We start from the raw sequence: 14,835 nt of genomic DNA on the forward strand, positions 1-14,835 counted from the left end.
CTGGTGACAACACCAGTGAAGTCCAAGGGCATGCCTGAGCCCACAGCCACACTTCTGCTGTAAAATAAGTTCCTTGGTAGAAGGTGATATTATATAGATTGTAACAGAGAAGGTTGGAAAAGGGTCTTGGGTCAAATGGAAAAAATAGTGCAATGACCTTCTTCTCAGCCCCAGCTATCCTGTCCCACGGGCCCTCAGACAGAGTTGCTTGTGTCAGGCTGCAAGCCTAAAGTAGCTACTCCAGCTCTTGACCCTGACCCCTCTAATCATAGGGCTAAAACCCCACCCAAGTGGTCAAAATGACATTTCAGCTACCTTTTCCACAGAATTTACTTCTAACCCTTCTCTCAAATCCCCAAGCCTTCACCCAAATAATTAAACAACGAAATGAACTCCTCTTTAAACCAGGCATGGTATAATGTGCCTGTAGTCCCAGCCACTTGGGAGGCTAAGGAAAGAGGATCTTTTGAGCCCAGGAGTTTGAGTCCAGCCTGGGAAACATAGTGAAACCCTATCTCTAACGACAACAACAACAACAACAAAAAGTAATCTCTTCCTTGACTGCATACCAAAGCTCCTGTGCATATCAACCGAGGCAAGGAGAAGCAGTACCTGGAGAGGGTGGGGGTTGTTTCGGAACCTCAGCTCAGCCAGGGGCAATGGAGCTGGGGGCGGAGGTGGCAATGCTGTATGACTTCTCTCACTACCAACTCCTAAACTCTAGCCACAGACGCCTGTTACACTTGGACCCAAGCAGTCCTACATAAGCCATGAGTCACAGTGCTCATGTTGGTACCTGTTCACAGAATGTGAGTTCTGCAAGCAGCATTTCTCTTATCTTCATTACTGATGCCGAAGGATGGAGAAAAGTCAAAGGCCTGAATCTGTTTTTTTCTCTCATCTGTTGTCTATCTCTGGGGCTGCCCACTGTAGGCATGTTACTGACAGCAACATGGGATGGGCCTTCTCCATCACATCTCCAAGTGGTTTCGCCATTTCAATTTCTTCCTACATACTGGGCTTGCTCATTGCTCATCCCAAACTTCAGGTATTAAGAATATTGCCATAGACATTCCTTTATGAGGTGATCATATATTTGGATATGGTAAAAATAATTAATACTAGAAGATGGATCCACAGGGAAAAGGGCAGTCAGTTATGTCTGAAACCTAAGAAAGGATTTGGCTGTGTTTTCCAGGGATGTAAGGATAATAGTATATAGAAGAGAACACCTAGGCCAAATTGTTGGTTAGAACACCTAGGCCATCTCCTTGGTTCATTTTTTTAGTGTCTTGCTATCTGTCCTGAATCTTGGAACCACTGCTCTAAAAGAGGTCTGAAAAATTTTGCCTTCAAGGCTCACCTTTACATAAAATTCACTATGGCTGAAACGAAACTCATATTCCTTCTTGTTTCTGTCTTGGGTTTTCTCTCAGATTGGTAGTGCCGAGGCTTGAAACATTAGAGAAATGTTCGATGTTTTTCTTTCCCTTTTCTTTCCCCTCTTCTTCACTAAGCATGGGACAGTTATTCATTGTGTCTTTTAAGTACATCTCTTTATTGCCAGCCCCCATGTGGGGATGTCTTGGCAGTTGTGTATGTTGGCCTGAACCTCAGGAGAAAAATCTCAGCCAGAGATGTAAATTCGGGAGGCCGAGGCAGGGGGATTGCTTGAGCCCAGCAGTTTGAGACCAGCAACATAGCAAGACCCCATCTCTAAAAAAATGTTTTAAAAATTAGTTAGGCGTGGTGATGCATGCCTGCAGTTCCAGCTACTCAAAGGCTGAGGTAGGAGGATTACTTCTTGAGCTCAGAAGTTAGAGACCACCCTGGGCAGCATAGCAATATCCCATCTCTTAAAAAAAAAGAAAAGAAAAGAAAAGAAAAAGAAAGAGAGGAAATGGCCAAGAGATGGAGGAAATCCAAGAGAAAATGATATTGCCAAAGTACGTCAACAGTATTACAGGTTGCAAGAGATAGCCCTGGATTTATTGATGAAGTTTTTGTTTTTGTATTTATCTTGGTGTGAATAGCACAGTGCAATGGTTCTCACACTTTTTGGTTGTACAAATTATAGTATACTCTTAAAAATCATTGAGGACCTGAAAGAGCTTTTGATTGTAAGAACCCCAAAGAGATTACATCTCTTATTTATCCTACTAGAAATTAAAACTGAGAAAATTTCAAACATGTTAATTTACTTAAAAACAATAATAAACCTATTACCAGTTAATAGAAATGTTTATGAAAATAACTACTTTAAAACAGAACAAAATTGAGAACAGTGGCAATGTTTTACATTTTAGGAAATCCCTTTAATATCTGGCTTAATATCATAGAAAACCAGTAAGTTCACATATCTTGTTCTGCCTTCAATCTGTTTTGCTATTACATGTTATTAATATATAGCCTCTGGAAAACTCCATTATATTATCATCAGAGAATGTGCATGAAAAAATAACATATTAACTATGAAAATAGTTTGATCTTGCAACCCCCCTGAAAGGTTTTCAGGGATTTCTAGGGATCTCGGGACCCCAGGGCAGGAGAGCTTGACAATACTGTGAACCTCATAAATAAGATCTTTTTGTCATAATGAAAAGTAAGCTAGATAGACTTGACTGAAGTTTCAAGGGCTATCTGATGAGAAGTGGAGGTTGTTTCATTGACATTATTCTCTAAGGTTAGGAATGGACTCTACAACATTCATTCAATTAATTCATTCAGCATACATTTATTTAGCACATATTATGTGCCATGAAGTACTCTAGATACTGAAGACATACCAGTAGACAAAACAAAATATCCTTGCCTTCATGAGACTTCTAATAAAGTAGTAAAATATATAGTGTATCAGAGAGTGGTTAAATCCTATGCAGAAAAACAATGTAAAGAGGTCTAGAGAATGCTGGAGGGATTTGCATATTTCAGTAGAATGGACAGGGAAGGCCTCTTTAAGAATGCAACATTTGAGCGAAGACCTGAAGGAGGAGAAGCCATTGGGATATCTTTTGAAAGGGCTTTTCCAGCTATTTAACAAATTAATTTCTTAACATTTGAAATTTTATTTATATGTAGTCTTTAATCAAATATCCATTGTATATGACATTAGCTGCAGGTATAAGGAAATAAGACAAGAGAACTGAGGTTTATTGAGTGCCTGCCATGTACCAGGCACTGTGCTAAGTATTATGAATGAGGTTTGGTACCTTCACTAAGATTTACAACTTAATGCAGGAGGCAAGGTGTAGACATACACTTCCTGCAGTATGGGTGTAGCAGTTCTTATGAGGAAGGAGAGTTGACTTGAAGTTGCACCGCCAGAAGTAATGCACCTGACCTACCTGAAGTCTACGCCTCCCTTTCAAGATGAATTAGGGTGCAGAGGGTGCTCTCCACTATAACAGAGGGGAAGCCAGCAAGATAATACCTGATCACACCTTTTATAGAGCACTTTGGTTAACAACATGTCTTCACAAATTAACTCACTTAACCTTCATAACAATAAGAAGCAGATGTTCTAAGAAGTGTTACTGTGTCTCTCAGAGATGGAGAAAGGCTAAGAAAGCTGGGTAGTATGACAAGGCAGTTATAAGGTAGAGCTGGACCTAAATTTAAGATAATCTGCTTCAAGCACAGTGCTTTTCCCACCGCAGTGCAGCTGTTATGAGCAGCTGCCGAAATAAAACAGCTTGATATTCTCCTGACTGAGTCCTCCCACTGACTCAAAAGGAGGGTTAGGTTGAGGCTGGGGCGGAGCTAGACCTCAAGAAGAAGCCAACAAAGTCACACACAGCGCTCCCCACCTGCGCTTGCGCAGGGGAGGAACACGCAGTCCGGAAAAACGCCGGGGATTCTGGGTCGCGCAGCCGTGGAGCTACCTCAAGGCGGAACTGGGGAGTCCAGGGCTTCGGCAGCCTGAACACCCGGTGTGAAAGGAAGGTGGCAGACGTGGAGCGGCGCGCATGCGCAGCAGCTCACTCTGCTGAAGGGCTGAGAGGCGCACCCGGGCGGCCAGCTGGGCTCGGAGCGGAACGGGGTCAGGATGGACGAGGACGTGCTAACCACCCTGAAGATCCTCATCATCGGCGAGAGTGGGGTGGGCAAGTCCAGGTGAGGCGGAGGTGCGGGTCGTGACGAGGGTGGCTGGGCTCTTTCTGCCCCGGTGGCTGCTGTCTCCTGGGCCGCGACGGGAACTGTAAACTGCAGCGGCGGGCTCGGGCCGGCTCCGCTCGCGCCCTCCTCGGCCTCTGGGCCGCGCTCTCCCGCGACGTTTGCTTTCCTCTCCCCACCCGCGCCTGCCTGGTTCCCGGCCTTTGCCAGGCCCAAGTTCTCTGGGTCGCTCTCCCTCCTGTAGCGCCGAGAAAACACCATTCCGAGGGCCGCCGCTCGGCCGGCAGGTTTGCTGCGCGGAGCTCAGGGCGTGGCGGGCTGGTTTGGGCCCGAATCCGGCCGGGGGCGCCTTGCCTCGAACCTCTCGGGGTTCAGGCTGCCTGCCACCCCGAGACCCGGGAGACATAGCTTTCCCACTTGAGGGTTTCTGTGGGGCCTTCTCTAAATACATAATGTCCTCGGGAAGTTTCGTGACGCCTTAGGTCCCATTCCTGGCCTGTTTGGGCGCAGCTTAATGTCGATTCTTTTACTTTTTTATTAGTCGGCTGTGAAAGAACTGGATCTTGTGACTGCTGGAAAATTTCGCTTTAGTGTAAGGTCCGAGTGCTTCAGCCGTGGGCCACCTTTGAAAATAAAATGTAATTGTTATTTCTCATTTTGCCACATCCTGTGGAGACAGAAGATTAGTGTTGTGCTTTCATTTTTTACTTTTTCCTTGGGGAAAATAATATTGACAGTGGAGTTGAGTATAAGGTAAGACATGGATCTAGGTGGATGTTGCTAGAGGGCTGTGATTTCATCCAGGTCTTGGAAGAGAGTTCTCCAGCTGATGTCATTCTTGCCATCTGATTATGAGTAGGTTATGTTCAAGGCCGTCCTGATCCTTAAACCACATTTGCACTCCAGGGGCTGTAATCAGTTTCATATTTTAGCTATACCTTCTGATACACGTATCTTTCAAATAATTTTTTGTATTTCATAAATTGAAATAGCCTTAATTCTACAAACTAGAATGAAAGCTCTCCTCAAATAACTTGTAAAAGTCACTTCATAAAGTCTTACTTTTTAAAAGCTTCTTCAGAATTTGAAAGCTTATGTAATATATTCTGATATTATTTACTTATTTATTTATTTATTTTTTGAGACGGAGTCTCGCTCTGTTGCCAGGCTGGAGTGCAGTGGCGCGATCTCGGGTCACTGCAACCTCCGCCTCCCGGGTTCAAGCGATTCTCCTGCTTCAGCCTCCCGAGTAGCTGGGACTACAGGCGCGCACTATCATGCCCAGCTAACTTTTGTACTGTTAGTAGAGATGGGGTTTCACCATGTTGGCCAGGATGGTCTCCATCTTTTGACCTCGTGACCCGCCCACCTCGGCCTCCCAAAGTGCTAGGATTACAGGCGTGAGCCACCAGTTTGACAACACATTTTCATAGTGTTCCTCATGTAATGTCCTCTGTGTCTACTGGAATGAAGGATTTGCACATACCAAGGAATAGAATAATGAAATACTATGAGTTAGCAAACCAGCATGATTTGTCTGTGTGTGTGTAAAAGGCATGAGTAAAATTATTTACATGATCATCTATTATTGCACATACATATTTGAGTGTTAAAAAGTTAAACGTTGTCTTAATAGGAATTTCACAGCCTTGTGATCTTTCTTTTTCTTTTCTCCTTTTTTCCTTGAGATATCGTTCTCATTTAAGTTCAGGCATATGAAATTAGTGTTTTTGAAGTCAAGAATGGTTGGTTGTCATTTCATGTAGTTCAACCCAATACATGGTTGGTTAGCACTTTTTCTAAATGTATTGCATGGATGACAAGTTAGGGTATGTTAAAATTTTCTGGAAGGTTAACTGGAGTATATAAACAAAATTCCTCTGCTCTACCCGCTGTTTTTTTGAGACAGGGTCTTATTCTGTCACCCAGACTGGAGTGCAGTGGCATGATCATAGCTCACTGCAGTCTCAATCTCCTGGGCTCAAGTGATCCTCCCACCTCAGCCTTTTGAGTAGCTGGACTATAGGCACGAGTCACCATGTCTGACTAGTGTTTTTTTATTTTTTATAGAGAGGAGGACTCACTGTGTTGCCCAGGCTGTCTCGAACTCCTGAGCTCAACAGATCCTCCTGCCTTGACCTCCCAAAGTGCTAGGAACATAAGCATGAGCCACCACAACCGGCCCTACTTCTAAAATTTTTTTCATAGATGGGATTTTCCTATGTTGCCCAGGTGGTCTCCAACACACAGGCTCAAGCCAAACTCCTGCCTCATACTCCTAAAGTGCTGGGATTACAGACACAAGGCATGACACCCAACCGAGGTTCTCCTTGTAGAGTAAGGCCTGTTAAGTGGATTTATCAGTCTCCCTAGTTCATGCCACCGAAACAAAGAAACAAATTTACCGTGGGCCTAATCTGTTTTAAACTTTTTCCTCAATACGTAGCAATGGATTATCAACTGCTCGATGCAGGATTTTGTCACTTTATTTCTTTTGTGAAAGGATTACATATAGTGAGAAAGTTGTCTTATTTGTCTAGCTAGATATACATTATTGGCCTGTGTGATATGCTGTGGAAAACAATCTTAAACACTCTGGATAAGATGAGAATAAATGACTCCACTGAAATAGAAGTCTATGCCTTTTAAAGTGAATTAGTACAAAAACATTTGCTGTGGATATGATCTTAAAGGATTGTTTTAACCAAGTTTGTTTCTATTTCATTACAGAGCTGGAGCTAGTGGAAGTGAGATAGCACTTGTGCTGTTGGGGAAAACAAAGGATATGTTTAATCCGAATTAGTGGATTACTTTCTAGTGATTTCATAGTGTTAGAGTCTAAAGGGTATGTGATAGTAGTCAGGAGATCAGGATTATGAAACTGGGGCTGCCACTTGTGTGACCTTGTGTGTGATACTTGAATGCTGTAGGCCTTCATTTCAAAAGCGAGGGGGTTGGAATAGAAACCTCTCAGACCCTAAATGTGTAAGACTCCAATTCTGTGGCTAGGCCTGGTAAGGTAAAGAGTAGCAGAATATATCAAGAACTGGAAGGGATTAGAGAGACCTATTATCTAAATTGCTGTCCCTCCTTTGCCCCTTGCCTTCCCTTTTTTTTTTTTTTTTGGTGAATTTCATATGTAAATTTAAAAAATGCAGATTAGTTATAATCACACTCTGTTTATTATAAATTTGGTCACATCTAAGTGCCATGGTGGTAGTTACTCCTTCCATCTCTACTTCTGCATGGGAAACATTTTGCTCCTTTAACTTTGAAAATATGAGGGTGTAAATATACAATACTATAAGAATGGTGCTTCTGCCAGGTGCAGTGGCTCATCCTGTAATCCTAGCTACTCGGGAGGCTGAGACAGGAGGATCTCTTGAGGCCAGGAGTCCGAGACCAGCTTGGGCAACATAACGAGACCATGCCTCTAAAAAAATAAAAATAAAAAAATTAGCCGGCCATGGTGATGCACACCTGTCATGCCAGTTACTTGGGGGGCTAAGGTGGGAGGATTAGTGAGCTGTGATTCTGCCACTGCATTCCAGCCTGGGTGACAGAGTGAGACCCTCTCTCTTAAAAAAAAAAAAAAAAAAGTGTGCTTCTTAATTATTTTGAGATTGTCAGTTCTTTTCAAAATCTAATAGAGAAATGGACTCTCTGTCCCTTTCAAAGTCTAATAGAGAAATGGACTCTCTGCCTAGAAAAATGCACACATAGAATTTAGAATACTTTTTGGGCTACCAGGGTACCCCTGTCTAAGATCTGATGTATACCCAGAGCCTGTATTAAAATTTGTTGCTTCACACCATGCCACCAATTCCCTGCCTCTCCTTACAAAGTACTGTTAATAACAAAGGCCATTTAAGGATTAGCAATTATGAGAGAAAAACCTCTGGCTTTGTGTCTGCACATTGCCATATGTTCAATAAATAATACCCAATATCATCATTATTGTATTATTATTATGATATTATTACAACTAGTCTACAAGGTAATCTTATGTTTTTGTAGTAATATTTTCTGTGGTGACCACGTGTAGATATTATGTATCTTTTCTTAAATTATGGGTAACTGAGTATGTTGGGAGAGAAGAAAAATTTTATAGGTAGTCTTTAAGAGTCTTACTAGTATTGTTACCTATGTTCCAAGTAACTAAATATAGTCAAGATGTTAAGTAGATAAATCTAGAATTTGACTCTTCTTTTTTACTTTGATTTTATGATGCTGGTTTTATGGTAAACACAAGAAAACAAAACCAAGTAAGGGAGAGTTAATCGTTCAAATATATTTAATGACACTGGGTTTGGAAACTACCAGGAGGCCATTATGTTTTGCAGAAACTCTATGGACAAAACATACCTCTACCAGCAATAATCACAACCTATAGAAAGAGTCATAAGATTTTTCTATAATTTAGATATCTGATGGCTGTTTCTTTGATTTTATTCATGCAAACAGGTCAATTAGGAGAGTCTTATACTTCAGAAGTTAACATGAGGGAAGATTGAATGACTTTAAAATCAAGGGCTTTAACAAAAGCTTAGATTTTATTTTTGAAGAGTTTCTAATAACTGACACTTCTGCTTCATAGTAAGTAAAATAATTCTGGAAGATGTAAAATCTTAGAGTACCCTTCTAATCTGGTGTCTTTTGCTTTTATCCTTTCTTTCTAGTTTCTTACCATTTCCTAGGTTTAGTCCTTTGTTCTCTCTTGCCATAACCATGGCGGTTGTCTTCCATTGATTTTCTTCCATTTTTTGTTAGTATTAACTTTTCAAAACAAAGAGCAGTACTTGTCTTAACTTTCTTTAAAAGCCTCCAGTAGCCTCCAGTTGCCTACTTGGTTTTACACACTCTACCTAGTGTTTGCCCGAGTCTATCTACTCTGTCCTGTGATCTTTCTTTTAACCTCTCTTTTTACTGTATCTTCTCTTAGGTAGTAGCCGTACTGCGTGTTACAGAATGCTCGGCTTTGATATATTTCTGGTTTTGCTTGAATTCAGAGTGGATTACACAATCAGATTTTTTAAAGCTAGTTTGTTGCATTCTAAGAGACTTTATTTTTTCCCTTTTCATCTATGTCAGTTAAAGCATGACATGCTGCTAATATCATTTTCTCAGAAGGACATACCAGAACAGTTAAAAAACAACTACAACAAAAACCCCCACCTTTTGTACTTGGGGGATTGTGTAGGAGAGCACGGGGAATATATTTCATAGTAAACTACTTTGCTCTTGGGATTTTTAAATTGCCTTTCTGGTAATTTAATTTTTCTGTGTATACCTGCTCTGAGGCAGTATTCCTAGGAACAGGCCTACATCAGTTATTTTTATCTGCATCTAATAATTTGTGACCAAATAATCATGAACACATTTATCATATGATTAGAAAATTCAAGTTCCCAACCTGTCTTTTTAATATCTCTTTCAGCCTGCTCTTGAGGTTCACAGATGATACGTTTGATCCAGAACTTGCAGCAACAATAGGTAAGCCTGTGTTTAAAAATTCTATAGAAATGGCCAGTATTTTCTTGCCTTTGGCCTTTTTAATCTAAATCCTTCTACCTTCCTCTCACCACCCCACTGCCTCCATGTCTGTTGAAATCTTATTTGTCCTTCAAGACTTAATTTTGGTATCATTAAATCTTTGAAGCCTTTCTAGATCTTACCAAGAGAAAATAACTTCCTTATCTGTTGTCTCATGATACTTTATTAAAACTGCTAATGTGATTATCTGTACACACATTTCTCTCCTATACTATGGATTGTCTTTTATTTTGTAATATACAACAGTTATTTGAATACTTATTGTATGCCAGGGACTGCTACTAAGAGGAGGGGTTATAATAGTGAATAACAAACTTGGTCTCTGTCATCGTGGACCTAACAGAGTGTGTTAATTTTGTATGTTCAGCATTTGCTACAGTGTTTGACGTGTATTCTTATCTTCACATATGTATTGATACTAGTTATTAAGGATTGTTAGGAGCAATGATACTTAAATGCCTTTTAAGGATAAGATTTAGATCGCCTGAAAGTGGTTAGTCACACTAACTTATGAGAATATATGAGAAGATAGAGGTAAGTATTTTGGTATCATGTGTTTAGACTGCAGACAACGTAAAGGGATGAAGAGACCACTTGGAATAGTTGAAAGGTAGCTGAGCTGAGTCAGAGCTAGATAATAGTCTTGGTTGACTTTGCCTTGAATTACATGTAATCTTGATGAAGTCACTTAACTTACTAACTTCATCTGTAAATTGGGAGGTTTTGTTAAAATTTCATGATCTGATGAGGAGAATATAGTAAAGATGATCCTAGCATTATTGTTAGGGAAAATAAAGAGTTTCTGTTAACTGGCTTTATTTGTTTTCATTGATTGTATGTCTATTTTTAAAATTTTATTGTGAAACAATTTCAGACTCAAAGATTTGTAAAAATAGCACAAATAATTCTTATGTATCCTATTAAATTACTCCAGATGTTAATGTTTGTCACATTTGCTTTATCATTCTCTCTCTACACACAGTATTCTTTTTTAAAAAAATGAGAGTAGATTGTAGACATGATGTCTTCAACGTCTGCATACTTTAATGTGTATTTCTTAAATGAACATAGATACATTTTATTGTCTATACACAGATTTTATCAGTTGTCCCATTAATGTCCCATATAGCAAAAGACAAATAATTGTTTCGGGTCCAGGATCATACACTGATTTTAGTTATTTCTCTTTAGCCTCTTTTATTTCATTTAATTAATGAATTAATTTATTTTCGAGACAGAGTCTAGCTCTGTCGCTCAGGCTGAGTGCAGTGGCACCAACTCAGCTCAGTGCAACCTCCACTTTTCAGGTTCAAGTGATCCTCCTGCCTCAGCCACCCAAGTAGCTGGGACTACAGGCACATGCCACTGCGCCTGGCTAATTTTTTTTTGTATTTTTGATAGAGACGGGGTTTACCATGTTGGCCAGGCTGGTCTTGAGCTCCTGACCTCAAGTGATCTACCCACCTCGGCCTCCCAAAGTACTGGGATTGCAGGTGTGAGCCACCGCGTCGAGCCTCTTCAGCCTCTTTTAATCAGCAATTCTTCAGTCTTTATTTGCCTTTTCAGGGCCTTGACATTTTTGAAGAGTAAATAATTATTTTGTAGAATGTCTCTCAATTTGTGTATGTCCAGTATGTCCTTAACGGTTAGATTCAGGTTATGCAGTTTTGGCAGCAATTCCACAGAAGTGTTTTTCAGAACATAGTGTCAGTGAAGTTATTATTTTTCCCTTCATAACTAATATATTTCTTGTAGAGAGATACATTGAGACTGTATAGGTATCCTCCTTCTTACACTTTTTGCCCTCCTGTTGTAGCATCCATTGATAATTCTTGCCTGTGACAAGTGATAAGGACAGTATATGATCTTTTCATTCCAACTGTGATGGTTATCAAATGGGGATTTTTTTAAAATGCCATCACTCTGTCTATGTATCTTGTTTGGAATTCTGTAAGTAAGAGCTCTTTTTTTTTCTTTTTTTGTGAGGCAGTGTCTCACTGTGTTGCCCAGGCTGGCCTGAGACTCCTGGGCTCAAGTGATCCTCCTGCCTCAGCCTCCCAAGTAGCTGGAACTACAGCCATGTACCACCATGCCCAGCTCAGGAGGAGCTCATGTTTGTTTGTTTCTTTTTCTTCATATGAACTCATGGTGCCTCTAAATTTTCAATAAATTAGGCATTACTTAGCTTTTGCATGATATTAAGATTTACAGATTTACTCTTATTTGTGTCATAGGAAAGGGAATCATTTAAAACACGAATTCAAAATCCATTGTAATTTGGCTTTGTTGTATTATAATAATAATTATTATTATTTAATTTTATTTATTTATTTTTAGACACAGTCTTGCTCTGTTGCCCAGGCTGGAGTGAAGTGGCACAACCTTGGCTCACTGCAGCCTCCACCTCCCCATTCAAGTGATTCTGGTGCCTCAGCCTCCTGTGTAGCTGGGACTACAGGCATGCACCACCACACCTGGCTAATTTTTGTATTTTTAGTAGAGATGGGTTTTGCTATGTTGGCCAGTCTGGTCTTGAACTCCTGGCCTCAAGTGATCCACCCACCTTGGGCCTCCCAAAGTGTTGAGATTATAGGTGTGAGCCACTGTGCCCATACTGGTGTATTATTTACTCCTATAAAAAATTACTTAGTAGTAAAACCTTATTTTGGTCAGAACCTGCCTGAGTACGTATTGGTATTGGCTAGCCAGGAGGAGAGCAGTAGCAACTGGCAGGAAAATAAACTTGCCTAAAGTTAAAATTTTACTGAAGGAATGAACATACATATAATATTAACTGTCTTCATTACAAACCCAAATGGAATTTGGGGACTTGTGGCATGACAAATCGTGGGTTGTCTTTATTACTAAAAAGGCTTTGTCTTCTGCAAAGACAAATACTAAGATTATAGTATGCTGGTGAAAATATATGTAATTTGTTCCCCAAATAGGCCCTAGATCTTGAATATGTTGAACAAAATATCTTTTACATTGAAGCATCAGATTACTTTCAGCCTTAGGTAATAACATATATATATATATATATTTTTTTTTTTTTTTTGGAGACAAGAGTCTCGCTGTGTTGCCCAGGCCGGAGTGCAGTGGTGCATGATCTCAGCTCACTGCAATCTCCGCCTCCCAGGTTCAAGTGATTCTTCTGCCTCAGCCTCCCAAGAAGCTGGGATTGCAGGTGTGTGCCACCATGCCTTGCTAATTTTTATGTTTTTAGTAGAGATGGGGTTTTACTATATTGGCCAGGCTGGTCTTGAACTCCTGACCTCAAGTGATCCACCCGCCTCAGCCTCCCAAAGTGCTAGGATTACAGGTGTGAGCCACCACGCCCAGCCCACACATGAGTTTTAAACATAAAAACAATTACTTAATGGCCTTGTGAAAATTAGTGTTTTATGAAAATTGGTATTTTACCCCACAGTAAAATAGTAGTAAGGAAAGTGTATTGTTACCTTTTAGTAACTTAGTGAGACACTTAAGTTTCTGTCTTGCATAAAATACTCTTTTAAGATAATTGTTGGATTTGGGATTTGCAGATGGTACTATAAAGTTAGCATTCTTCTTTCTTGGCAATTAGCTAAAAACAACAAAGAGAGGGAAAAACTGACACACAAACCCAGCATTCCACTAAACTAGAAGACAGTTAAAAACCCCAAGCCACAAAATAGGTGGAAATGTTGCCAGGAGCAGTGGCCATCAGGCTGGCTGCATGTGGGAAGAAGTAGGTAGGATGCCGTGGCTGTGGAGCTCAGAGACAACAAGAAACACCCATGAAACTGCAAGGCCCCCCTGAGGTATAAAACCTAAACCCCTTGTTTACAAAAGTGAAGTGGGTTTCTTCAGCTCAAGGCAGGAGCTTTCCTGCACCTGGTTTAATTCTAAGAAGTCGGGGAAATGAAGCCAAACAAGGAGTCACATAAACAAGCCATTTTTGCAGGAAGTAATATGTGTCTATCTCTATAGCAGTTGGGGAGGAGATGACTGCATTGTGAAAAACCTCCAGACTGCCTGTCTGCATTGGCTGTTGAGAAGTAAAATGCTAAACTGTCTCTTAGGTAAATCTCTGAATCACGAAAAAGTTGTCAGTCCAGAACTGGAGGCACTCTGGCCTTCTGCATAAACCTCCTACAAATATCAGGTTCTGGACAACCAGCACTTCTTCAGAGATGAATAATCAAAAGGAATTCATTAAGCTTGACTGCCACAAATGTTTGGAAATAAAAAAGGAAGAAAGAAACAGAAAAACAAAGGACAGATGAAGAACAGTAACCTAAAATATTGCCATAAAGAAGATGAATATTGTGATCAAACATTTTGCCATGAGTTTAGAAAACTTAATGAAGTATTTACTGCTGAGAGCACAACGCACTTGACATAAGAGGCCGGGGAAGAAATAGAATGATTGCATGAGAAAATGCAAGGTAAGCTGATTGAGTGGAAAGAAAAATAAATGAAATTAGAAAATAAAACTATTACTGAAATGAAGATGAAATTGAAAGGATCACATAGATAATAGAGAACTGTGGAAAATACAATAAGAGACAGAGTCTAGAAATGGAAAAAGGTAGAATTTACCAAAATTAATGAAAATGTTAAAACGAATTAGAAAATGATAGATATGGAAATCAGAAAAGGAAATCCAACATATGCATATTTGAGACTAAGAAGGAAACATAATGAAACACAAATATTTAAAAATGTAGTACAAGATAACATTTCTGACATAAAAATAAACATTCATACACACAAAATTGCAAGTTTTTTTGTTTTTTTGTTTTTTTTTTTCTTTGAGGCAGGGTCTTGTTCTGTCGCCAGGTTGGAATGCAGTGGCACAAACATAGCTCACTCCAGCCTCACCCACCTGGGCTCCAGTGATCTGCTTGAGCCTCCTGAACTGGAACTACAGGCACGTGCCACCATGCCCGGGTGATCTTTGTATTTTTTTGGAGATGGGGTCTCACCAAACTGTTGCCCAGGCTGGTTTTGAACTCCTGGGTTCAAGCAGTCCTCCTACCTTGGCCTCCCAAAGTGCTGGGATTGCAGGTGTGAGCCACTGCTCTCAGCCTGCAAAAATATCTCGACCAGTTTTTTTGTTTGTTTGTTTGCTTATTACATAGGAGTGTTTGATAAAAGATAGTATTAGGTTTCTTTTTCTGCTGT

At 40.3% G+C, this 14,835-nt stretch overlaps 1 protein-coding gene and 1 long non-coding RNA gene across 6 annotated transcripts in view, besides 2 other annotated features; both read left to right on the top strand.

Annotated features, from left to right (window-relative positions):
* Positions 3,676-3,945: an enhancer, noted in NCBI's record as "active region_3187". NCBI's record gives its function as "activates an Ori minimal core promoter by ATAC-STARR-seq in GM12878 lymphoblastoid cells {active_cell/tissue: GM12878}" and the evidence as "EXISTENCE:reporter gene assay evidence [ECO:0000049][PMID:35858748]".
* RAB18 (RAB18, member RAS oncogene family) overlaps positions 3,980-14,835 on the top strand; it is a 37,936-nt gene continuing 27,080 nt past the window's right edge. For all 5 annotated transcript variants that reach the window (NR_046172.2, NM_001256410.2, NM_021252.5 and 2 more), the window contains exons 1-2: positions 3,980-4,113; positions 9,551-9,606. Coding sequence is in view for 4 of the 5 variants with exons in the window: in NM_001256410.2 (NP_001243339.1) it covers positions 4,046-4,113; positions 9,551-9,606 (124 nt within the window). In the remaining variant the exon portion in view is untranslated. The remainder of the gene's footprint in view (positions 4,114-9,550; positions 9,607-14,835) is intronic.
* Positions 4,056-4,115: an enhancer, noted in NCBI's record as "active region_3188". NCBI's record gives its function as "activates an Ori minimal core promoter by ATAC-STARR-seq in GM12878 lymphoblastoid cells {active_cell/tissue: GM12878}" and the evidence as "EXISTENCE:reporter gene assay evidence [ECO:0000049][PMID:35858748]".
* Positions 4,121-4,768, top strand: LOC124902399 (uncharacterized). The gene is made up of 2 exons (XR_007062097.1): positions 4,121-4,400; positions 4,655-4,768. It is a non-coding gene; the product is annotated as an uncharacterized LOC124902399 (long non-coding RNA).

This window comes from Homo sapiens, chromosome 10, assembly GCF_000001405.40.
Source record: "Homo sapiens chromosome 10, GRCh38.p14 Primary Assembly".
Lineage (NCBI taxonomy): Eukaryota > Metazoa > Chordata > Mammalia > Primates > Hominidae > Homo > Homo sapiens.